This window comes from Homo sapiens, chromosome 7 (genome assembly GCF_000001405.40).
Source record: "Homo sapiens chromosome 7, GRCh38.p14 Primary Assembly".
Taxonomy (NCBI): Eukaryota; Metazoa; Chordata; class Mammalia; order Primates; family Hominidae; genus Homo; species Homo sapiens.
The window spans coordinates 77,616,694-77,640,812 of NC_000007.14; the positions used below are offsets into that span (position 1 = coordinate 77,616,694).

General features: G+C 39.0%; 1 protein-coding gene across 11 annotated transcripts in view; it reads left to right on the plus strand.

The window, feature by feature from the left end:
- The window catches only part of PTPN12 (protein tyrosine phosphatase non-receptor type 12), a 102,775-nt gene extending 79,399 nt beyond the window's left edge, over positions 1-23,376 (plus strand). For 10 of the 11 annotated variants that reach the window (NM_002835.4, XM_006716073.5, NM_001131008.2 and 7 more), the window contains 7 exons: positions 1,787-1,872; positions 10,012-10,982; positions 15,655-15,732; positions 19,089-19,156; positions 20,325-20,355; positions 21,931-22,038; positions 22,526-23,376. In NM_002835.4, the coding sequence (NP_002826.3) occupies positions 1,787-1,872; positions 10,012-10,982; positions 15,655-15,732; positions 19,089-19,156; positions 20,325-20,355; positions 21,931-22,038; positions 22,526-22,587 (1,404 nt within the window). In that variant the 3' untranslated portion in view covers positions 22,588-23,376. Of the gene's footprint in view, positions 1-1,786; positions 1,873-10,011; positions 10,983-15,654; positions 15,733-19,072; positions 19,157-20,324; positions 20,356-21,930; positions 22,039-22,525 lie in introns of those variants that run through there. The other variant, XR_007060120.1, reaches the window with a different exon arrangement.

Here is a 24,119-nt window from a genome sequence, read left to right on the forward strand (position 1 = left end):
CATTTTGGTACAAAATATCAAGTGTTACAGAATTATGGTTATATCATTAATGGAAATAATAAGCAGATGATCAATAATATGTTGGGGGTACTTTTTTGTTTTTTTTTGAGACGGAGTCTTGCTCTGTCGCCCACACTGGAGTGCAGAGACACGATCTCAGCTTACTGCAACCTCTGCCTCTCAGGTTCAAGTGATTCTCCTGCCTCAGCCTCCCAAGTAACTGGAATTACAGACGTGCACCACCACGCCTGGCTAATTTTTGTATTGTAGTAGAGACAGGGTTTCACTATGTTGGCCAAGGCTGGTCTCGAACTCTAGACCTCAAGTGATCCACCAGTCTCAGCCTCCCAAAGTTCTGGGATTACAGGTGTGAGCCACTGCGCCCAGCCTAGGGGGTACCTTTTTGATGCAGAGTCTCTAAATTCTGGTGGTACCTGAGGATCTGAAACTTTGGCGACCAAAAGTCCTGATTTGCGTGAGGCACACCAGTTCACACTAGTTGTCTAGGTTTAATAATTAATAATGCTTCTTTTTCATTCTCAAAAGAGCCCTGATTTAGACAATAAATTATATGGTCACCCTACCTATAGCCAGATATTTCTGCACCAAATGCCTCGATTTTGGTGGGTGGCTTTAATTAAGGAAGAATGCTTTAAGTTTTATGACATAACTCTGTTGTTCTTGTCAGGAAGTGATATGTATAAAACTATTAATTCATCAGATTATATATAAGGAGATAGGGTGCACTTAAAATTGCTAGGAAGTTGAGATCTCTAGTTGTTTAGTTGGAAGTAATTGAAGTAACAGTTGGACAAGCTGTCATGATGGACATAGTAGAAGTGCCTTTTAATTAAAAACAATGATAACAAAACAAAATGCAGCTACGGTTTCAGAGTTCCTTAGTTGATAGTATGTGTAACGATGGCTGTTGTCTAAAATTATCTGAGATGTTGGCAAGGGTGAAAATCATTCCTCTCTTCTGGACATAACATACCCTAGAATTAAAATACCCTAGCTAGATAAATATGAGATATGTTGACAGTGAAACTAATTCAAGGCCGTATTTTCATTTCACCGCTCCCCTATTCACAGTCCTAAACCTAAGGTTCTTATACCTGTATTGACTCTGAAACATCAATGTTAATGATGTTATTGGTCCTTGTGACCAGCAAGAACCAAGGATATTCTGGGGATGGGCTCTGTCTGCCTTTTTGAGGTCCATTTGGGTAGCCAGTGATATAGGAGCTATATTCCCTAATGGATTAGAGCACTCCACATAGTGACAGAGTGAGAGTGAGGCAAGAAATGGTTAAAATGAATCCTAGGACCACCAGTTTAAAAGTACTAGGTAGTAATGGGGAGTCATAAAAAGATACTCCATTACTTGGTAAATGGTATAAGCCTTATTTGTTGGCTTTTTTTTTGTCTCTGCATATATTAAGTTCCTAGTGGTAGTGATGGCGGGGCGGGGGGATACTACGTTCTTTAATCCACATTATCTTGGGGAATCTGTTTTTTTACGGTAGCATTTGAGATGTGTTGAAATGCTGCTGTACACCTTGATCTTTCCAGTAACTGTGATGCGCTGTTTTTTTGATACAATCTCTCCATTGAAGTCTGGTCCTTCAGGCTAAAATATAGAGCCAGAATATAAGACTTTTTTTTTTTAACTTGGCAAAATTGGCATTGTTTAAGGATTGAAAAGCACAGAAACAATTTAGTTGAAACATGAAGAGGAAAAATTATTTTTCTCTTAACCTTAGTGAAGTATTTTTTCCCTTGGCAGAATGAAATTAACACTGAAAACATGGTCAGCTCCATAGAGCCTGAAAAACAAGATTCTCCTCCTCCAAAACCACCAAGGACCCGCAGGTATTGTATGTCTTCGAACATTTTCTTTAAAAGCATACTTGTTTCTACTCACTGTTAATTAAAATGACAAATTCTGAATATTTCTAAATTACTTTTATAACTTTTATTATTATTTTGTTAGGATGTAACATACGTATGACAACTGATTTGTTACTGGTTTATTAAAAATTTGGTTTCATTTTGGATAAAATTTCAATAATATACTGTAGCAGAATGTGGATACTACCATGAATTGACTATGGTTTATGTTTTGATATGTGATATAACTAAAATTTTAGTTATTCTAAAGATTCCCATTTTTTTCCTGATGACTAAATATGCTTGCCAAAAATTGCATGCATGTTGAAGTGTGAGGATATTTAATAACGTTACTAGCAAAGATGAGTTTATTTCTTTAATTTTTCTTGCTTTTCTACCAAGCTCATTTATAATAGTTAAAATCATATATATTCATATCTTTCTTTTCCTTCCCTTCTTGTTCAGGGTAGCTGCTTAGTCAGTAACATGGTAGTATGGAGAGAATACAGAGGCAGAAGAAGATAGTTTCAACTCCTTTTTAGCCATTTAGCTCTGGGATCTAGGATTAATTTACTTAATCCTGGGGAGAAGGAGTTGTTTAAATATTGTCCTAAGGATTAAATAAAAAACTATTAGAATATTTTATAGTGTCTTTCTTGCACATAGATCTGCCAAAACTGATCGACTTCCCATCAAAATAAATTCTTTTATACAGGATACACCAATTGTTTCCATCTTAAAACTTTGGGGAAAGTTGGGTCAGACGGCCAGGGTCATGTCTTAGCATTGAGTTGCTAATTCCAAGAGATCATTCTAACGAAATCATCTCTCTGAACAAAAGAAAAAGCCTGCAGCTTCCCTCAGTAACTGAAGGTTTGGTTAGAATCCCTGCACACCACAGGAATAATTTATTCTCATTTTGACCATGCAAGATTCTAACTGCCTGGGAAGGAAGCTGCTGAGTACAGAAAGAGGCAGTGTACTCTGGTATAAAGAGGCTTTTTACATAAATAGGTCCCATTCCAAATTTTAACTTTAGCATTTGCCACTGAATGAACTTTGACAAGCCACTTCTCTGAAAATACTTTACTTCATTGTAGTGAGAGTACTCGTATTCTCCGTTTTTAAAAATTAGTGATAATGTATATAAAGCATGTAGTTACATGCCCGGCCTATAGTAACAGATTTTTTAAGTGTGGTGGTAGTTATAGTCTCTAGAATACCTTTGCATACTTCTCTTAGGAACCTCAGGAAGCCTATATATAGATGAGGTTAGGTCTCAACATTTAAATGTTCGAGATGTTAACTGTGTGCTATCAGAACTTTTAGTAGTTCTTTCCTGTTCGATTTCCACTTTGGTATCCACCAAAACTGGTTGGCATTTTAGCCGTCTGTGGAAGGTAACCAGTTGAAACCTATAAAATATTAAGTTCTCTAACTTCTCTGTTCCATATAGGAGCCCTAGAATCCTAAAAGAAACTACTGGCCCTAAAAAAATTAAGGAACATTTTTGCTGCCCTGTGTTTTAATTTGGTTTTTGAGATTGAGCCAATATAGAGGTTTTCAAAGTCTACACTGATATTTATGATTTGTATGTTCTTCTACCTCTAACTACATGTAGCAGCAGTCTCTTCTTAATTTTACAGGAAAAAAGAATAGAATATCTGAATTTAAAGCCTTTTTCCTATACCTGTTGAAAAGTTTTACTTCTGTTACTCTCTAATAAACAAAAAGATAATAAAGAAAAAAGCAAATGCATATTAAGAAAAAATATTCAACTCAAGACAGATTTTTATTAGGCATACATTCTAAAAGTTCTTTGTGTGTGATTTTATAATACATGCATAGGTCACCTTTTTTCTTCTTCATGTAATGGAGTCAAATGCCAGAATGTCATTATTTTTGACAAAGAGAACCTTGTGACTTCTAAGTTGGGATGATTTTTAGAACTATTATAAATTGTTCCAACATAACTGAAAATAAAATCACAAAATCATAAGATTGATAACAAGTAAAATAGTATATTTTGTTTTTCAGTATGGCTACAGTAAACACATTAATTGTTTGTTTAAAGTACATGATGGGGCCAGGCGTGGTGGCTCACGCCTGTAATCCCAGCACTTTGGTAGGCCAAGGCAGGCGGATCACAAGGTCAGGAGTTTAAGACCAGCCTGATCAATATGGTGAAACCCCGTCTCTACTAAAAATAGAAAAATTAGCCAGGCGTGGTGGCACGCGCCTGCAGTTCCAGCTACTTGGGAGACTGAGGCAGGAGAATCGCTTGAACCCAGGAAGCGAAGGTGCCAGTGAGCCAAGTTCATGCCACTGCACTCCAGCCTGGGTGAAAAAGCGAGACTTTGTCTCAAAAATAAAAAAACAAAAATAAAGTACATGTTGGCTGGGCATAGTGGCTCACGCCTGTAGTCCCAACATTTTGGGAGGCTAAGGTGGGCGGATTGCTTGAATCCATATATATATATATATATAAAAATATGTGTTGTGTGTATATTTCATTTTTATTTATTTATTTATTTATTTACTTTTTAAACGTTTTTGTTAAAAATAAGACACACACACACAGTAGCCTAAGCATACACAGGGTCAGGATCATCAATATCACTGCCTTCTGCCTCCATATCTTGTCCTGCTGGAAGGTATCGGGCAGAAACACACATGGAGCTGTCATCCCCTATGATAACAGTGCCCTCTTCTAGAATACCTCCTGAAGAACCTGCCTGAAGCTGTTTAACAGTTAACTAATTTTTTAACAATTAGAAGGAATACACTCAAAATTAACAACAAAAAGTAAGTACGTGGCCAGGCGCCTGTAATCCCAGCATTTTGGGAGGCCAAGGTGGGTGGATCACCTGAGGTTGGGAGTTCGAGACCAGCCTGGCCACCATAGCGAAACCCTGTGTCTCCTAAAAATACAAAAATTAGCTGGGCGTTGTGGCGGGCACCTGTAGTCTCAGCTACTTGGGAGGCTAAGGCAAAAGAATTGCTTGAACCCGGGAAGTGGAGGTTGCAGTGAGCCAAGATTGCACCACTGGACTCCAGCCTGGGTGTGACAGAGCGAGACTCCATCTCAAAAAAAAAAGTACATAAGCCAATAACTATTTTCTTTATCATTATTATCAAGGATTGTGTCCTGTACGTAATTACATGTGCTGTGCTTTTATATGACTGACAGCATAGTAGCTTTGTTTATACCAGCATCACAACAAACGTGAATGACGCATTTTGCTACAAATTCATGGGAATTTTTCAGCTCCATTATAACTTTGTGGGGCCACCATGTTATGTGTGGCCCATCATTGACTGAAACGTCACATGACTGTACATGTCTTTCAGTAATTTTTAATATTCCAATTCTTTCTGTTTTATTTTGTTTTGTTTTCAGACAGAGCCTTGCTCTTTTGCGCAGGCTGGAGTGCAGTGGTGTGATTATGGCTCACTGCAGCCTCGACCTCAATTGAACCTCCCACCCTAGACTCCCAACTAGCTGGAACTATAGACACACACCACCATGCCTGGCTAATTTCCGTATTTTTTGTAGAGATGGGTTTTCTCCTTGTTGCCTAGGCCAGTTTTAAACTCTTGGGCTCAAGGGATCCACCCATTTTGGCCTCCCAAAGTGCTGGGATTGCAGGCGTGAGCCACCATGTCCCACCAGTATTCCAGTTCTTCCAGTTCTTAAAAGTGAACAGAACTAGGAATGACTGGGCATTTGACAGAAGCCTCTAATATGAAAAAACAGAGGAAATGGAGACAATACAGAGTAAAATGAAAAAGATGGGGGAAAAAAGAAACAACAGTCCACTTTTCTCAGTCATTGGGAAATGCTGCAACCACGAAATAAGAACTGTGGGTAATAAGTAAGAAGCTCTTAGAAATTAAGAATATAGGCCAGGCGCAGTGGCTCATGCCTGTAATCCCAGCACTTTGGGAGGCTGAGGCGGGCAGATCACAAGGTCAGGAGTTTGAGACCAGCCTGGACAATATGGTGAAACCCAGTCTCTACTAAAAATACAAAAAAAATTAGCTGGGCGTGGTGGTGTGTGCCTGTAGTCCCAGCTACTCAGGAGGCTGAGGCAGGAGAATCGCTTGAACCCGGGAGGCGGAAGTTACAGTGAGTCGAGATCGCGCCACTGCTCTCCAGCCTGGGCAACAGAATGAGACTCTTGTCTCAAAAAAAAAGAAAGAAAGAAATTAAAATACTATAAATTTAAAAATTAAGCAGAAGTTTGGAAAATAAGGAACTCCATTTTCCAATAAAATTTCCAAAATAAAGAAATTCATTCATTTCAAGAAAATGAATGGATAAAGAAAAAGTAGGAGAGAAAAGATAAGGAAATTAGAAAGCAAAACTAGAAGATCTGTCACTGAACTAATAATAGTCTAAAAGGAGAGTAGGGAAGAAGAAATTAGCAAAAAAAAAAAAGAAGAAAAAATGTGTTAGAATTAAAGGGCATAAATTTTTATATAGAGCGTATACACCAAGCTTGATATACACCACCAAATGTGATGGATAAAAATAAAATTGTTAAAAAATATAGTTTTTTAAGTTACATTATGAAATTATAGAACATCCAACATAAGAACCTTGCTTAGGTTTAGAGTAAGATAAAAATAATGCTGAAATTTGGAGTAAGTTTTTTTAAATTAAAAACTTTGAAAATACTCGATTAACAAACCCATATATCATACTCGATATCTGTCAAGCACTGTTCTAATTGTTGTTCAGATGTTAACTCATTTAATTCTCCTAACTACCCTGTGAAAAAGGTACTGTTAAGGATATATGGGGTTTGTTAATCAAGTAAATCTGTAAAATACTGGTCATGAGGCCGGGCATGGTGTTTCACACCTGTAATCCCAGCATTTTGGGAGCCTGAGGAGGGCGGATCACTTGACGTTAGAAGTTTAAGACCAGCCTGGCCAACATGGCGAAACCCTGTCTCTACTAAAAATACAAACATTAGCCGGGCGTCATGGCGCGTGCCTATAATCCCAGCTACTTGTGAGGCTGAGGCAGGAGATTCGCTTGAACCTGGGAGGCGGCGGAGGTTGCAGTAAGCTGAGATTGCACCACTGTACTCCAGCCTGAGTAACAGAATGAGACTCTGTCTCAATAAAAAATATGTAAATAAAATACTGATTATGGAAAAGTGGTCTCACCATGTACACGTAGGGAAAATAATACACCTCAATTTATATCAAAATTTTATCTCATCCTTTTAAAACTCATATTTTCTATTTGTATTATAATATGTTCTTAGGATAACCTATTGGTCTTTGCATATGCTTTATAAATTGTAGGAGGTGTCTGCAATTATTTTTGTTTTAGATCGCAAAAATTTGACAGCCACTCTTTCAGATTAAGAACCAACTTGTAGGCCAGGTACAATGCCTCACACCTGTAATCCCAGCTCTTTGGGAGGACATGGCAGGTGAATTGCTTAAGTTTAGGAGTTTGAGATCAGTCTGGGCAACATGAACATGGCAAAACCACATCTCTACAAAAAATACAAAACTTAGCCAGGTGTGGTAGTGCACACCTGTAGTCCCAGCTGCTTGGGAGGCTAAACTGGGAGGATGGCTTGAGCCCTGAAGGCAGAGGTTGCAGTGAGCCAAGATAGTGCAACTGTACTCCAGCCCAGGTGGCAGAGCAGGACCCTGTCTCAAAAAAAAAAAAAAGAATCTACTTGTAAAACTTGAACAGATATAGGAATATCTTATGAGAGTATTGCTGTCATTTTAATATGATCAGTATTCTGGAGATATTCATTTATCTTCTCATGTCCTAGGAATGTGGGAATGTGTCTAGAGAATCTGAACTTCACAGAGTCTTTATTTATTTATTTTATTTATTTTGAGACAGAGTCTTGCTCTGTCACCTAGGCTGGAGTGCAGTGGCGTGATCTCAGCTCACTGCAACCTCTGCCTCCCGAATTCAAGTGATTCTCCTGACTCAGCTTCCTGAGTAGCTGGGATTACAGGCGCACGCTACCATGCCTGACTAGGGTTTTGTGTTTTTAGTAGAGACGGGGTTTTGCCATGTTGGTTAGGCTGGTCTCAAACTCCTGATCTTGTGATCCGCCTGCCTTGGCCTCCCAAAGTGCTAGGATTACAGGCGTGAGCCACCATGCCTGGCCCACAGAGTCTCTTTTAAGGGGAAACCTGGTGTACCATGTGATTACTGCCAGTTATCTGGTTGGATAAAAAAAGGTTGATCACCTGGGGGGAGAAAAAAAAGCAAAAACTCTGAGGTGGGGTCCAGTGGCTCACCCCTGTAATCCCAGCACTTTGCGGGGGCCGAGGCAGGCAAATCACTTGAGGCCAGGAGTTGGAGACCAGCCTGGCCAACATGGCAAAACCCCATCTCTACTAAAAATACAAAAATTAGCCAGGTGTGGTGGCATGTGCCTGTAGTCCCAGCTACTCAGGAGGTTGAAGCACAAGAATTGCTGGAACCCAGGAGGTAGAGGTTCCAATGAGCCAAGATGGTGCCACTGCACTCCAGCCTGGGTGACAGAACAAGACTCTATCTCAAAAGAAAAACAGAACACAAAAACTTAAATATACAAGCCCTCAAGAAGTTTGCTTCATATAAAGTTCTTAAAAAGCAACAAAGCCTGGGCAACATAGTAAACCCTATCTTCTTCTTTGGTTTTTTTTTTTTTTTGAGACAGGATCTCATTCTTTCACCCAGGCTGGAGTGCAGTGGCATGATCAGAGCTCCCTGCAGCCTTGACCTCCCCAGGCTCAGGTGATCCTCCTACCTCAGCCTTCCTAGTAGCTGGGACTACAAGCATGCATTGCCACATCCAGTTAATTTTTTTGTATTTGTTAAAGACACAGGGTTTTGCCATATTGCCCAGGCTGCTCGCTCTCTCTCTCTCTCTCTCTCTCTCTCTCTCTCTCTCTCTCTCTCTCTCTCACTCTCACTCTCACTCGCGCTCTCTCTCTCGCTCTCTCTCTCTTTTTTTTTTTTTTTTTTTTTTTGGAGACAGTCTTGCTCTGTCGCCCAGACTGGAGTGCAGTGGCGTGATCTCAACTCACTGCCATCTCCACCTCCTGGGCTCAAGCAATTCTCCTGCCTCAGCCTCCCAAGTATCTGGGACTGCAGGTGTGTGCCACCACACCTGGCAAATTTTTGTATTATTAGTAGAGATGGGGTTTTACTGTGTTGCTCAGGCTGGTCTCAAACTCCTGAGCTCAATTGATCCACCCACCTTGGCCTCCCAAAGTGCTGGGATTACAGGCGTGAGCCACCATGCCTGGCCCCTATTTCTTTAAGGAAAAAAATAAAGGCAACTAGAGGGTATAACCCACCCGAACAAAGGAGTATACCCAGAAAGAGGAAAATGAGACCTGGGAAACAGGAGAATCTGAAACCAGAGAGAACATTAGCTCTGTGATGGACTAGGGAACCAGTAGTCCACACTGGAGCAGGAGGCCAAAAGTTACTAACAAGGATGTCTGTGGTATTGATACTTACTATGTGTGCTTGTCATTATTGAGAGGAGGTATACCAATCTGCAAGAAAGTTAGAAGAAAAGCTGAGTAACTGATGATGCATAGAGAGCTAAGCCATCAGAAATCCAAGGCAGTCATTAGGGGAAAACAAGACACTATAGAAGAAAAGATACGAAATCATGGTGTCATAGATGGGAATACTATCTGCAGTCATACGACTGAGGTAATGAAAAATTACAATATAACAGTATTGGAAAGATAGAGAAGGACACTTCCACAGTAGGAAGTCAGTAGAAAATGTGTGAAACAAAGATCAAGAAATAACTTTTGAAATAGTCTGAAATACAGAGGTGTAAATTTTAGAAGCAGCTATAAAAAAATGTTGAAAGTTGATGCCTCTGGCTAACAGGAGGGCTGCGGGGCAGAGACTATGTTTTTCATTCAAAGTCTTGTATTTGACTTTTTAAACAGTATATGTGTATTACCTTGATGAACATTAAATTTTCTTAGTCTGAAAAACTGCAGTTTTTATTCGCAACCAGATTGTAATGGCTCTTAATATGCTACTCTTAGCTACATAATTCTCAGGTATCAACTTGTTTAACAGTCTTAAAATGCCCTTTTTAAATGTTTGTTTTTCAGTTGCCTTGTTGAAGGGGATGCTAAAGAAGAAATACTGCAGCCACCGGAACCTCATCCAGTGCCACCCATCTTGACACCTTCTCCCCCTTCAGCTTTTCCAACAGTCACTACTGTGTGGCAGGACAATGATAGATACCATCCAAAGCCAGTGTTGCATATGGTTTCATCAGAACAACATTCAGCAGACCTCAACAGAAACTATAGTAAATCAACAGAACTTCCAGGGAAAAATGAATCAACAATTGAACAGATAGATAAAAAATTGGAACGAAATTTAAGTTTTGAGATTAAGAAGGTCCCTCTCCAAGAGGGACCAAAAAGTTTTGATGGGAACACACTTTTGAATAGGGGACATGCAATTAAAATTAAATCTGCTTCACCTTGTATAGCTGATAAAATCTCTAAGCCACAGGAATTAAGTTCAGATCTAAATGTCGGTGATACTTCCCAGAATTCTTGTGTGGACTGCAGTGTAACACAATCAAACAAAGTTTCAGTTACTCCACCAGAAGAATCCCAGAATTCAGACACACCTCCAAGGCCAGACCGCTTGCCTCTTGATGAGAAAGGACATGTAACGTGGTCATTTCATGGACCTGAAAATGCCATACCCATACCTGATTTATCTGAAGGCAATTCCTCAGATATCAACTATCAAACTAGGAAAACTGTGAGTTTAACACCAAGTCCTACAACACAAGTTGAAACACCTGATCTTGTGGATCATGATAACACTTCACCACTCTTCAGAACACCCCTCAGTTTTACTAATCCACTTCACTCTGATGACTCAGACTCAGATGAAAGAAACTCTGATGGTGCTGTGACCCAGAATAAAACTAATATTTCAACAGCAAGTGCCACAGTTTCTGCTGCCACTAGTACTGAAAGCATTTCTACTAGGAAAGTATTGCCAATGTCCATTGCTAGACATAATATAGCAGGAACAACACATTCAGGTGCTGAAAAAGGTAATAATATAGTGTCAAATACTTAAATGTCTTTCCTATGTGCTAGTCACTGTTTTAAGCACTTTAGCTGTATTGATTTATTATGTTTTATTCCACACTCTACCATAGAACCTACAGCAAAATCTGTCTTAGATACTAATTTTTTAATATAAGCTTTTAATGTATTGTTAACAATTTGGTCACATTATATTACTGGGTTTTGTGTTTCTAAATTATTTTAGTAGTTATAACTGGATAACTTATTTTCTTTTTCTTCTGTATTATAGATCTTAGTGTTTTTGTATCGGTCAAAAATTTATCTGACTGAATAATTAGAAATAATTTAGGGAAGAATCACTTAAAATAACAGTGGCAAAAATACTGTAGAATGTCTTGATTGGCCATATAATGTTACTCGTTTTTCCTAAATGTTTAGTCATTTTTTACTGTTCCTTTAACTACAGATTACATTTTTTTGTTTGTTTGTTTTTACTGTCTTCACAAATGCTTCCAAATATGGCTGCTTCCAACCCTGAGTTTAACCCAGGAACAATACTGCAAACTGCTCAATTCAGTAGTGAGTGGGCTATATGCATACCTACTCATCAAAGCTATTATTTAAAGAATTATTATTTTTTTAGCACTCTTAGCATTTCAAGATAATGCATGCACTCAGTTCCCAAAGTGTATTATTGCTTCTTGAAACTCCTCTTTGATCTGCTGAAAGTAATGATGGCTACCATCTTAAACAGACCCTAAGGTTGAGAGTAAACATATAAATTTGAAAGCTGTTTATTGATATATTGATTATCAGTGGTCACTTACCTATCAGTGAACTTTGGTAGTGACACATACAGACTGGTATTTATAACGTGCAGGCAAAATAAGTACTGTGACCTTGAAAGATTTTTTTTTTTTTTTGAGACTTGCACTCAAAAGATTTTTTTTTTGAGTCTTGCACTGTCACCCAGGCTAGAGTGCAGTGGCAAGATCTCGGCTCAGCCTCCCAAGTAGCTGGGATTACAGGCACCCACTACCACACCCAGCTAATTTTTATGTTTTTAGTAGAGACAGGGTTTCGATATGTTTGCCAGGCTGGTCTCAAATTCCTGGCCTCAAGTGATCTGCCCACCTAGGCCTCCCAAAGTGCTGGGATTACAGACGTGAGCTACCACACCTGGCCTTGAAAGATTATTTTCTATTTCTGACCCATTATATACCACCCATACTGTAGTGCTTGTATTTTCTCTCACACATACTGTATTTTTTAACTTGAGAGAGTGTATTTGGTAGACTAGATGACAGTCTTTTTGAGACAGAGTTTTGCTCTTGTTGCCCAGGCTGAAGTGCAGTGGCGCAATCTTGGCTCACTGCAACCTCCGCCTCCTGGGTTCAAGGAATTCTCCTGCCTCATCCTCCCTAGTAGTTGGGAATACAGGCATGCGCCACCATGCCTGGCTAATTTTTTGTATTTTTAGTAGAGACAGGGTTTCACTGTGTTAGCCAGGATGGTCTGGATCTCCTGACCTCGTGATCCGCCCACCTCGGCCTCCCAAAGGGCTGGGATTACAGGCGTGAGCCACCACGCCCAGCCAGGTGACAGTCTTAAACTATTTGCTTAAATTACAGAATTATCTTTTCTTGATTTATCTTTGTTTTATTTGAAGGATCTTTAGAAGATAATGAATAGTATAATATTACTTTACCAGTTTACCATAATTTTAAATTGCTAATGTCTTTTGTTCCTCAGCTTCAGAATTTGAAATATAACTGCCCAGCTGTAACTATATAAGAAAATATGTAGATAAGAAATTTTCATTTTGAGTTTTTAGTATATCAAGCATGTGGTATTGTACCTAGGAAGTTTTATTGTTTTTTTGTTGTTGTTTTGTTCTTTTGCTTTTTTTTTTAAAAAAAACCAAAAAACCATTACTGGAAATAGGATTTGGTGAGGGCCAGAAAGATGTATGATGTGATATGCTTATTAAAAGTTACTACTACATGACGAGTCTGTTGGTGGCTCATGCCTGTAATCCCAGCATTTTGGGAGGCTGAGGCAGGAAGTTCACTTGAGCCCAGGAGTTCATAACCAGTCTGGGTGACATAGTGACACCCAATCTCTACAAAAGATAAAAAACTAGCCGGGCATGGTGGTGCACACTTGTGGTCCCAGCTACTCTGGAGGCTGAGGTAGGAAGATCACTTGAGCCTAGGAGCTCAAGGCTGCAGTGAGCCATAATTGCGTCCCGGCACTCTGCCTGGGCAACAGAGGGAGACCCTGTCTCAAAAAAAAAAAAAAAAAAAGAGTAAGATATAGCTAAAAGCACCCTACTATGTGCCAGCTCATTTCTGTTTGTTTGGTTTTGTATTTCAAAGCAAAAATCACTATACATGTGATTTCTGGTTTCTTTTTACTCAACCTTAACTATGTTATTGGTTTGATTTTAACCGAAGATTTTCCTGTGTGTAAATGTTCTTTGTTGCAGCATAACTACAAGTAGTCTCATTTTTAATGTGTTGCCAAATATTTACCATATGGATTATTTACTTTATAGATTGTTTATTTACCTTATAGATTATTATTTCCTTTGTAGATCATTATCTTATAGAGCCATTGGCACCAGAATTAGAGTTTTGGGGGGTTTTTTGGTCCTAGAACTTGTTAGTGAATTACAGTCACACATTTCTTAATGGCAGGGATATGTTCTAAGAAAAATATGTCATTAGGCAGTTTTGCCATTGTGTGAATGTCATAGAATGTATTTACACAAACCTAGATGGTATAGTATATACTACACATCTGGGCCATACAATGTAACCTCTTGCTCCTAGGCTACAAACTTGTATAGCATATTACCATACTCAACAATTGTAACACAATGGTAAGTATTTGTGTATCTAAACATAGAAAAGGTACAGTAAAAATATGGTATCATAATCTTACAGGACCGCTGTTGTTTATGCGGTCTTGTTGATGAAAACATCATTATGTAGTGCATGACTATAATGGAATACTTTTGTATTGATACCTAAAAAAAACTTTTGCATAAGTTACTGCCTGACAAAAATTCTTAGCTATCAATTCTAATTTCAGTCTTGACTTAGGCCTCCTGAAAGATTTCTCAGATTCAACTACAGAAGGCCCCATACAGTGTATGATTTGCAAAAGCCTATATAAAATACGCAATATCTGGTTGGATAACCTCTAAAACAAAAGTTTTTAACAGGAAAGGCAGCCCAAAGTTCCAGGGAGAAACATGCATTTGCAAAGCAAGGGCCACGCTTAGAAAATAAAAGTTTTTAAGGGTGAGAACTGCCATGAGAGAAAAAGCACAGAGTTTCTGGAAGATAACTGATAGAAAAAGGGCTGAACTGCCCTTTTTGTTTTGTTCATTTAATTTAAGAAATGGTACCAGAATGCCAAGATTATGTGTCCCTTCCTTCCAACAGCCATCTCTTCACTGTGCGCTGTTAGTAGCAAGAGGGCAAGGAGACATATGGTGATGACTCAGACTACCACTACTGGATAAGGTAGATAGTTCTTTAGTGGCAAGAGAGAGTTCTGGTACTCTTGGTAGATGTATCAAGTATTGGACTGGAACTCCTCTTTCAGGAGGACCCAGAAGCTGTATTTTCTTGCGTCTCCAGCTAAATAAATGTAGGTGGGGCAAAAGCAATCATACTCACCTCATGCGTGTTGAAAATTGACAAGACCTATGCATAGCCATCAGGTGTGGTAAAATAGCAGAGTATCATGGCAGAACTGTGTGTTCATTTAAGAACAATGGGCAAGGCTCAAGACAAAATAATACAGGACCGTCGCATTTCTTTTTCTTTATCCCACCCTCCCCAACCTGAGAGTTCACACACAGGATTGTATTCTTATATTTTCTTTCTATTCCTCCAGTGAAAACTCAAAGATCAAATACACTCATTTACCTTAAGCCATAATAAAGCTAACCAATGAGGCTTACTTAATGCACTCTCTTTCCCAAGAGCTAATTTTGTTTTTACTAGTGAAAAACCTGTATATAGCTTCAGTCAGCATTCTCAAAGTACAGCCATGTGCCACTGTACACAAAATCTTTAGCAATAAATAAATGAAGATTTTTTAAAAAACTTTAATAGCTATATCTTTATCTGTTTTGGAAAAATAACTAGTATTTCCAATGTTATTTCAGTTATTGCTGTTTAAGACATGACTGAGGTACACAGTTAAGTTTAAAATGAGTCAGATTTTAAAAGTGAATAGGACACATGTTACATAGTATGGCAAAAATCATGAAAGGTGTTAAGCAATTGAATCCTGTTTGGGAAACACTGGCTTAGGCGTTTCATAACGCAAATGACCAAAGCTTTCCTTTTTGGACACAAAACATCATCAGTAAGCTCAGTAGAGAAGTCACTTGCCAGCTGACTTCTCTACTGAAGATTCCCTTCAGGCTTGGAGAACTGAATGATGTCTGTAGAGTGACAGGAAAGTCATGGGAGAGAGTCATTTCTGTATACATTATCTTTGCTCAATAAGCATCATAATTCTTGATAATGAGTGGAAAAGGTTTCTTGCATTTTTTTGCATTTTTAAAAACTGATCTAGATATTTGTGACAGGAATTTTTAGAATGTCAAGAAAGCTCTCTGATTTTGTTTAGATGACATGTTAATTTGTCTAAATTTTTATGTGTTTAATTTAGATGTTGATGTTAGTGAAGATTCACCTCCTCCCCTACCTGAAAGAACTCCTGAATCGTTTGTGTTAGCAAGTGAACATAGTGAGTGTCTCTTTTGCTTTTACATTTACTTCATATTCTAATAATAAACTCCGAAAAACATACCTGATTTTAATCTATTAGCTATTGTGCTACATAATTAAATTCAAAAACAAGTAAATTGATGTTGACATGCTTTTAATTCTTTGTTTGAAAAATGCTTTTAAATTATATTTTTTACTTGCTAAGATCGATAGAAATTACTGCATTTATGTTAGATATCAGAATTCAATTCATTTAAATGTAATTATAGGCTGGGCATGGTGGTTCAAGCCTGTGATCCTAGCACTTTGGGAGGCCTAGGCAGGTGGATCACCTGAGGTCAGGAGTTGGAGACCAGCCTGGCCAACATGGTGAAACTCCATCTCTACTAAAAATATAAAAATTAGCTGGGCATGGTGGTGGACACCTATAATCTCAGCTACTTGAGAGGCTGAGGCAGGAAAATGACTTGAACCCGGGAGTTGGAGGTTGCAGTGAGCCGAGATTGCGCCATTGCATTCCAGCCTGGGCGAAGAGCAAGATTTCGTCTCAAAAAGTAAATAAATAAATAAATGCAATTACAAAGCCAGGTGCAGTGGCTCATACCTGTAATCCCAGCACCTTGGGAGGCTGAGATGCACTGATCACCTGAGGTCAGGAGTTCAAGACCAGCGTGACCAACATGGAGAAACCCCGTCTCTACTAAAAATACAAAATTAGCCAGGCGTGGTGGCGCATGCCTGTAATCCCACCTACTTGGGAGACTGAGGCAGGAGAATTGCTTGAACCTGGGAGGTGGATATTGCAGTGAGCCGAGATCACACTATTGCACTCCAACCTGGGCAACAAGAGCGAAACTCCATCTTAAAAAAAAAATGCAATTATAAGTGTATTTGCAATCTGGTGTATTTTCATTCATTAAAAATAGCACTTATTGACTCATGCCTGTAATCCTGCCACTTTGGGAGACCAAGGCGGGCAGATCACGAGGTCAGGACATCAAGACCATCCTGGCTAACACACTGAAACCCTGTCTCTACTAGAAATACAAAAAATTAGCTGTGTGTGGTGGCATGCACCAGTAGTCCCAGCTGCTCGGGAGGCTGAGGCAGGAGAATCGCTTGAACCCCGGAGGCAGAGGTTGGAGTGAGCCGAGACCATGCCACTGCACTCCAGCCTGGGCAACAGAGCAAGACTCCATCTCAAAAAAAAAAAAAGTAGCACTTATTTATGAAAACATTAATTGCTTTCCTTAGATTTAGGTCAGTAAACATTTCTGTTGGGTGGGCGTCACTGGATTGGTGTTAACTGAAAGACATTTAACACCACTGGAGTAGACTGAGCACATTGGCTCATACCTGTAATCGCAGCACTTTGGGAGTCCAAGGCGCGAGGATTGCTTGAGCCTAAGAGTTTGAGACCAGCCTGGGCAACACAGTGATACCTCCTCTCTTCTAAAAATAAAATAACTGTCCAGTTGTGGTGGTGGGCGCCTGTAATCCCAGCTGCTTGGGAGGCTGAGGCAGGAGAATTGCTTGAACCCAGGATGCAGAGGTTGCAGCGAGCTGAGACCACGCCATTGCATTCCAGCCTGGGCAACAAGAGCAAAAAACTTTGTCTCAAAAAATAATAATAACAACAAAAAATTAGCCAGGTGTGGTGGCATGTGCCTGTAGTCCTTGCTACTCAGGAGGCTGAAGAAGAAGGATTGCTTGATCCCTGTAGTTGGAGGCTGCAGTGAGCCATGATCGCACCACTGTACTCCAGTTTGGTAACAGTGAGACCCCGTCTGTGGAAGAAAAAAAAAAGACCACTGGAGTATCAGAACTGGGAGAAAGTGATGATACTTTAAAACATTGATAATATACTTCTCCCTATTAATCCTCTAAAAAAGAGTGCAGAAACAGCTTGATTGTATTTACAGTGTCTCATGCTCAGTGGAGGTGCTCACTTGTCTAAGTACATTTTACCAATATATTAATTTTGACTGATTTTTGTTTTGTTTCATTTGGTTTTCTTTTTATTTATTTATTTTTTATTTATTCATTTTTTTGAGATGGAGTCTCATTCTGTCGCCCCGGCTGGAGTGCAGTGGCACGATCTCGGCTCACTGCAAGCTCCACCTCTTGGGTTCATGCCATTCTCCTGCCTCAGCCTCCCATGTAGCTGGGACTACAGGTGCCTGCCACCACACCCGGCTTATTTTTTTGTATTTTTTTTAGTAGAGACAGGGTTTCACCGTGTTAGCCAGGATGGTCCATCTCCTGACCTCATGATCCGCCCACCTCAGCCTCTCAAAGTGCTGGGATTACAGGCATGAGCCACCACGCCCGGCTAATTTTTTTGTATTTTTTTAGTAGAGACAGGGTTTCACCATGTTAGCCAGGATGGTCTCCATCTCCTGACCTCGTGATCGCCCGCCTCAGCCTCCCAAAGTGCTGGGATTACAGGCGGGAGCCACCACGCCCGGCCTTGTTTTGTTTTATTTCGAGTTGGAGTTCCACTCTGTCACTCAGGCTGGAGTGCAGTGGCACGATCTGGGCTCAAGCTGTTCTCCTGCCTCAGCCTCCTGAGTAGCTGCGATTAGAGGCATACACCGTCACTCCCAACTAATTTTTTTATTAGAGATAGGGTCTCACCATGTTGGCCAGGCTGGTCTTGAACTCCTGACCTCAAGTGATCTGCCTGCCTCAGCCTCCCAAAGTGAATTTTGACTGATTTTAAGATAAATGTTAAAGAGCCAAGCACAATGGCTTATGCCTGTGATCCCAGCACTTTGGGAGACCAAGGCAGGTGGATCTCTGTTCCATTTGCCCTAGGAGTTTGAGACCAGCCTGGGCAACATGGCAAAACCCTGTCTGTATAAAATCAAAAATTAGCCAGGCGAGGTGGCATGCACCTATAGTCCCAGCTACTCAAGAAGCTGAGATGGGAAGATTGCCTGAGCCTGGGAGGTTGAGGCTCCAGTGAGCCGAGATCGCGCCTGGTCAACAGAGTGAGACCCTGTCTCAACAACAATTAAAAAGAATGTTGAAAGCAATGAAACGGTATACTTCAGTTGTCTAAGTCTGTCACGTTGTCTGTAGATTAAGCAGTATACTTCACTTGTCTGTCACATTATCTATAGACTGTAATACACTGATGACTGAATTTATTTACTTAGGTTTTGAAGGAAGGAAACAGAATGTTCTCGAATTAATAGAAACTACAATTTTTTTTTTTTAGAAACTTCAGAAATATGCTTACCCAGAAACTACAAAATTTTTGTGGAAGCGATAGTTTCTAAAATCTTTAGGATCTGTTTTTTGTATTACTTTAATGCAAAGAAATTTCAGAAATTCAAGGTGTTAATAACAATAAGATTTCATTTTTCTCAGATACACCTGTAAGATCGGAATGGAGTGAACTTCAAAGTCAGGAACGATCTGAACAAAAAAAGTCTGAAGTAAGTCCTTTTGGAATTGGAACAGTTATAGCTTAACATTTCTACTCTTTTGTTAACTAATCTTGCAGTTGTTGAAATAGCTGTCATCTTAAGATCGTTAAATATAGTTTGTAATTTTTGATCGGCATTTCTTATACTAAGATTTCAGATGAAAAGCCCATATAAAAGGTAGGTTCTGAAATTTTTTAAAAGGGTAACCTGATCTACATACAACTATCACTTTAAAGTATTGTTTTCTCAAGCTGTTTTTGAAATATGTAAATTATGCTTCAAATAATTTTGAAGGTATGAATGAAATAGGAGTTACTATTTTCAGGGTCCTAATTCTTTCTTACATTTCTAGATGCTTCCCATTATAACACTAGGCACATAGTCGCTTCTTTTGTTTTTTTCTGGCTACCTGGCATTTCTTTGACATTCGAGAAATGTTTTGGCAATTAAATATTTTGAGGGCGTGGCATGGTGGCTCATGTCTGTAATCACAGCACTTTGGGAGGCCAAGCAGAAGGATCACTTGAGCCCAGGAGTTCAAGACCATCCTGGGCAACATGGGGAGACCTTATCTCTACAAAAATTTTTAAAATTAGCCAGGCGTGGTGGCGCATGTCTATGGTCCCAGCTTTTTGGGAGGCTGAGATGGGAGGATTGCTTGGGCCCCAGAGGTCAAGGCTGCAGTGAGCCATGATCACACCACTGCACTCCAGCCTGAGTGACAGAGTGAGACCCTGTCTCAGCAACAACACATTTGTCCATAGGAGATAACATTTTTTATTAACATTAATACTTTTTGTATTTTCTCCCATACTTTAATATCTCTGAAATTTAGCTACATCTTATATTTGATTTTAAGACATGATGTAGTTTAATTGACATATAAAATACAATAATGATATAATTAGTAATAGTGGCTGGCAAAACACAGCTGTATGTTCCTTCATGCAGTAGCCCATGCTTTTCAGTGCTCATCCAGAAACATTTACTCCAAGGAGAAATAGCATAACATTTTAAAATTTTAAGCCTAATTAAAAAACAATTGTTTGCTTTTCCTCTGATGCTGAAAATGATAGGCCTTGATTTCTTGGGATATATACCCATAACAGACCCAGCTTTCTATTATTTGTATATAAAATGAATGTATTGTAATAGGTATTAAATGTCTTCCTCGTAGGGCTTGATAACCTCTGAAAATGAGAAATGTGGTAAGTTGTTAGATTTTTTTTTTCCTTTTTACTGTAGATTTTATTGATTAATTTCTACAAAATAACATGCTTCATAGTTCATGCTATATAGTTATTTCTGTATGTGAAAATGTCTAGGACAACTCTTGTAGAAGCTTAATATTGTACTATAATTCTTCCAAATTAATTATTACCACCAGATAGTAGTATTGATCTGGAAAATCATGGGAGCATTTACTATCAATAATTACAGGCTAATGGGAAAGAGATTTTTTAAAAATATTTTTCTGTTTTTTATTTTCTGTTTTTAAAAACACCTAGAAGTTAGATCCCGACTTAAATAAATGATGGAATTGCTTCTGTAGAAACCTATTGTTTTAGAAATCTTCCTTTTAGTACTTTTTCATTTATTTGTGAAGACCAATAAAATTGTGAAAGAATGAATGAATTTTAGTAGTTAACATCTTTTGTTACTAATCTTAAACACTGGTAATTAAAGAGTAAACTACAATCTAAACAACATAAAACTTTAAAAGTGGAGTTATTAGGCCTGGCGTGGTGGCTCACACCTATAATCCCAGCACTTTGGGAGACCCAGGCAGGCAATCACCTGAGGTCAGGAGTTCGAAACCAGCCTTGAGCAACATGGTGAAACCCCGTCTCTACTAAAAATAAAAAAAATAGCTAGGCGTCATGCCATCTGCCTGTAATCCCAGCTACTAGGGAGACTGAGGCAGGAGAATCCCTTGAACCCCGGAGGCAGAGGTTGCAGTGCGCCGAGATTGCGCCATTGCACTCCAACCCGGGCAACAAGAGGGAAACTCCGTCTCAAAAAAAAAAAAAAAAAAACAAGTAGAGTTATTATTTCAAGGTGCAAATAGTGCATTAATTAACCCTGACCTTGTTGATTTCTTAAAATTTTTTTTTTTTTTTTTTTTTTTTTTTTTGAGACAGAGGTCTTGCTCTGTCGCCCAGGCTGGAGTGCAGTGGCGCGATCTCGGCTCACTGCAAGCTCCACCTCCTGGGTTCACAACATTCTCCTGCCTCAGCCTCCTGAGTAGCTGGGACTACAGGCGCCCGCCACCACGCCTGGCTAATTTTTTTGTATTTTTAGTAGAGACGGGGTTTCACCATGTTAGCCAGGATGATCTCGATATCCTGACCTCATGATCGGCTCGCCTCGGCCTCCCAAAGTGCTGGGATTACAGGCATGAGCCACCGCGCCTGGCCTGACCTTGTTGATTTCTATACAAAGACATTTCAGTTGCAACTATTCCCTTAGAACATAGGCATATAGTATAGCTACCTTAAGGGAATGTAATATGTCAAGACCTAGATTTATGAAGTAAGAATAACGAGAATCCTCACATTGCAGAAGTACTCACTGCAGATTTCTGTGTGACCACAATAATACCTGACATGATTTTCTGTGCACACTACACTTGTATTTATATTGTTCTTGACCTGTAAAATTATGGTGCCCAGGAGAGAAAGTTTTCTCTTTTCATGCTTGCCAACATTTAAAAAATTAAAGAGTTATATATATATGATGCTACAAAGGATGGTGATTAACAAAGGCTTTGTGTTGCTACTTAGATCATCCAGCGGGAGGTATTCACTATGAAATGTGCATAGAATGTCCACCTACTTTCAGTGACAAGAGAGAACAAATATCAGAAAATCCAACAGAAGCCACAGATATTGGTAATTTGTTTAATAAATAATTTTTAGTAAGTAGTTAACACTGGCAGGAATGAGAAAAGCTCATTTGCCATTGTGAAATGACACTTGCCAAGAATAAAACATGATTTTCCAAAGTTGCTTGGACTAGTCATGAAATAAATGAAATACTTAATTCTATTTCACATTGAGATTAAAAACTAAAATAGAAAACTGCAGTATAAAAAATCTTTTGTGTTGGAAAGACTAAATTATCATGGATATTTTTCTTACATTGTGATAAAATTGGTTTTATTTCCAGCATAAGATTTTTAAAAGAAGCAATCATTTTCAGTTATTCCAAATAAATTTACAATTGTTTTGCATTTACCAAGTTTTGTTTGGCTTAAATTCTAAATTCCCTTGTGGAAATTTATTTGTTCCAGAAAATGAGAATGTCTGTGGACATGGTTTTTAGTAGTTTGAAAGTATTTCTGAACACTGACTAGTTATTGTGGTGTTTTCACTGTAGGTTTTGGTAATCGATGTGGAAAACCCAAAGGACCAAGAGATCCACCTTCAGAATGGACATGATTCAGGGAGCTAGAAGACACTTTAAGTTATACTGGAAAATTCAGGTGCCACTGAAAGCCAGATTTATAGTATTCCATCTTTAATATGTGGGACTAACAGCAGTGTAGATTGTTACCTTAATATTTTTTGCTGGGACCATCTACCTGCCTTATACTACACTTAGGAAAAAGTATTACATATGGTTTATTTTGAAACTTCAAGTATTATTGCCTTAATGTCTCTTAACCCTGTTACACGCTGCTTGTAGACATGTTAATATAGTAATACCTTTATGATATATTGAGTTTAAGGACTACTCTTTTTCTGTTTTATCATGTATGCATTATTTTGTATATGTACAGGGCAAGTAGGTATATAATTTGATAAAGTTGCAATTGAAATATTATTAACAGAAGATGTAAGAAATTTCTGCATGGTCTAAATCTTTGTGTACTTTATTTGTAAATTATTTGCCCTGGAGTTTTAGAAAATAGTTTCTGAATTTTAAACTTGCTGGATTCATGCAGCCAGCTTTGCAGGTTATCAGAGATCAAAGATTGTAATAATAATTTTGTAAATTGTAAGCAAAAAGTTATTTTTATATTATATACAGTCTAATTGTTCATCCTAATTGTTCCTGTTTTCATCTAGTCAGAGATTCAGTAAGTGCCTTGGAACAATATTGAATTCTCTTAGCTTGTGTGTGTTTCTTTAATATTTGAACTCAAGTGGGATTAGAAGACTATCAAAATACATGTATGTTTCAGGATATTTGACCTGTCATTAAAAAAAACAAACAGTTTTACAGTGCCTACTTGTTGCCTTGGCTTTTCATTTCTCATTCCTAGGATATTGGACTTAACTATCAGCCTTTTTGCTGGCTCAGTCTTGGTATGAAATGAATGTGAATGGGGTTTAATTTCTTTTTTTTTTTCTTTTTTTAGACAGAGTATTGCTCTGTCACCCAGGCTGGAGTACAGTGGTACCATCTTGGCTCACTGTAACCTCCACTTCTGAGGTTCAAGTGATTCTCCTGTCTCAGCCTCCCAAGTAGCCTGCCACGACGCCCGGCTAATTTTTGTATTTTCAGTAGAGATGGTTTCACCATGTTGGCGAGGCTGGTCTCAAACTCCTGAACTCAGGTGGTCCACCTACCTTGGCCTCTCCAAATGCTGGGATTACAGGCATGAGTCACCATGCCAGGCCTAATCTCTTAATTAAGGAATAGAGAGTACCTTCTGCAAAAAACATGGTTCTGCGGATTCTAAATACTTATTGCCCCTAGGCATTCCTCATCCTTATCATTATTAGCCTACCAAAGTCCTAGTAGAAAACCCAACAGAGGGGGCCAGACCGGGTGGCTCACGCCTGTAATTCCAGCCCTTTGGGAGGCCAAGGCAGGCAGATCACTTGAGGTCAGGAGTTCAAGACCAGTCTGGCCAACATGGTGAAACCCCATCTCTACTAAAATTACAAAAAAATTAGCTGGGCATGGTGGCACATGCCTGGAATCCCAGGTATTCAGGAGGCTGAGGCAGGAGAATTGCTTGAAC